This window comes from Homo sapiens, chromosome 6 (assembly GCF_000001405.40).
Source record: "Homo sapiens chromosome 6, GRCh38.p14 Primary Assembly".
Lineage (NCBI taxonomy): Eukaryota > Metazoa > Chordata > Mammalia > Primates > Hominidae > Homo > Homo sapiens.
In genome coordinates this window covers 32507245-32508985 of record NC_000006.12, presented here as the reverse complement: position 1 = coordinate 32508985, position 1741 = coordinate 32507245, and positions in this window count along the sequence as shown.

The following is a 1741-nucleotide window of genomic DNA, read 5'->3' as shown; positions in this document are numbered from 1 at the left end:
GGTTGTAGATGTGTGGTATTATTTCTGAGCTCTCTGTTCCTTTCCATTGGTCTATACTTCTGTTTTGGTACCAGTACCATGCTGTTTTGGTTATTATAGCCTTGTAGTATAGTTTGAAGTCAGATAGCATGATGCCTCCAGCTTTGTTCTTCTGGCTTAGGATTCTTGGCAATGCGGGCTCTTTTTTAGTTCCATACAAACTTTAAAGTAGTTTTTTCCAATTCTGTGAAGAACGTCATTGGTAGCTTGAGGGCGATGGCATTGAATCTATAAATTACCTTAGGCAGTATGGCCATTTTCAGGATACTGATTCTTCCTATTCATGAGCATGGAGTATTCTTCTATTTGTTTGTGTCCTCTTTTATTTCATTGAGCAGTGCTTTGTAGTTCTCCTTGAAGAGGTCCTTCACGTCCCTTGTAAGTTGGATTCCTAGGTATTTTATTCTCTTTGTAGCAATTGTGAATGGGAGTTCACTCATGATTTGACTCTCTGTTTGTCTGTTATTGGTGTATAGGAATGCTTGTGATTTTTGCACATTGATTTTGTATCCTGAGACTTTGATGAAGTTACTTATCAACTTAAGGAGATTTTGGGGTGAGATCATGGGGTTTTCTAAATATACAATCATGTCATCTGCAAACAGGGACAATTTGACTCCCTCTTTTCCTAATTGAATACCCTTTATTTCCTTCTCCTGCCTGATTGCCCTGGCCAAAACCTCCAACACTATGTTGAATAGGAGTGGTGAGAGAGGGCATCCCTGTCTTGTGCCAGTTTTCAAAGGGAATGCTTCCAGTTTTTGCCCATTCAGTACGATATTCGCAGTGGGTTTGTCATAAATAGTTCTTATTATTTTTAGATACCTTCCATCAATACCTAGTTTATTGAGAGTTTTTAGCATGAAGCACTGTTGAATTTTATCAAAGGCCTTTTCTGCATCTATTGAGATAATCATGTGGTTTTTGTCATTGGTTCTGTTTATGTGATGGATTACTTTTATTGACTTATGAATGTTGAACCATCCTTGCATCCCAGGGATGAAGCCGACTTGATCTTGATAGATAAGCTTTTTGATGTGCTGCTGGATGCGGTTTGCCAGTATTTTACTGAGGATTTTTGCATCGATGTTCATCAGGGATATTGGTCTAAAATTTTCTTTTTTTGTTGTATCTCTACCAGGCTTTGGAATCAGGATGATGCTGGCCTCATAAAATGAGTTAGGGAGGATTCCCTCTTTTTCTATTGATTGGAGTAGTTTCAGAAGGAATGGTACCAGCTCCTCTTTGCAGGGACATGGATGAAGCTGGAAACCATCATTCTCAGCGAACTATCACAAGGACAGAAAACCAAACACTCATAGGTGGGAATTGAACAATGAGAACACTTGGACACAGGGCGGGGGAATATCACACATCAGGGCCTGTTGGGATATGGGAGACTTGGGGGAGGGATAAAATTAGGATACATACCTAATGTAAATGACGAGTTGATGAGTGTAGCAAACCAACATGGCACATGTATACCTATGTAACAAACCTGCACGTTGTGCATATGTACCCTAGAACTTAGAGTATAAAAAAAGAAAAAAGAAAAAAAAAAGTTATTGGTCTATAAATTCCTATTTGTTGTAGAGTTCTTTTCAGATCTTAAAGTTTACACACATCTCATCAAACGTAACTGCAAGTGTTTTTCCTTTTTTCAAATATGTTTGAAATTAGCATAAAGGTAGTGTTGATTGTT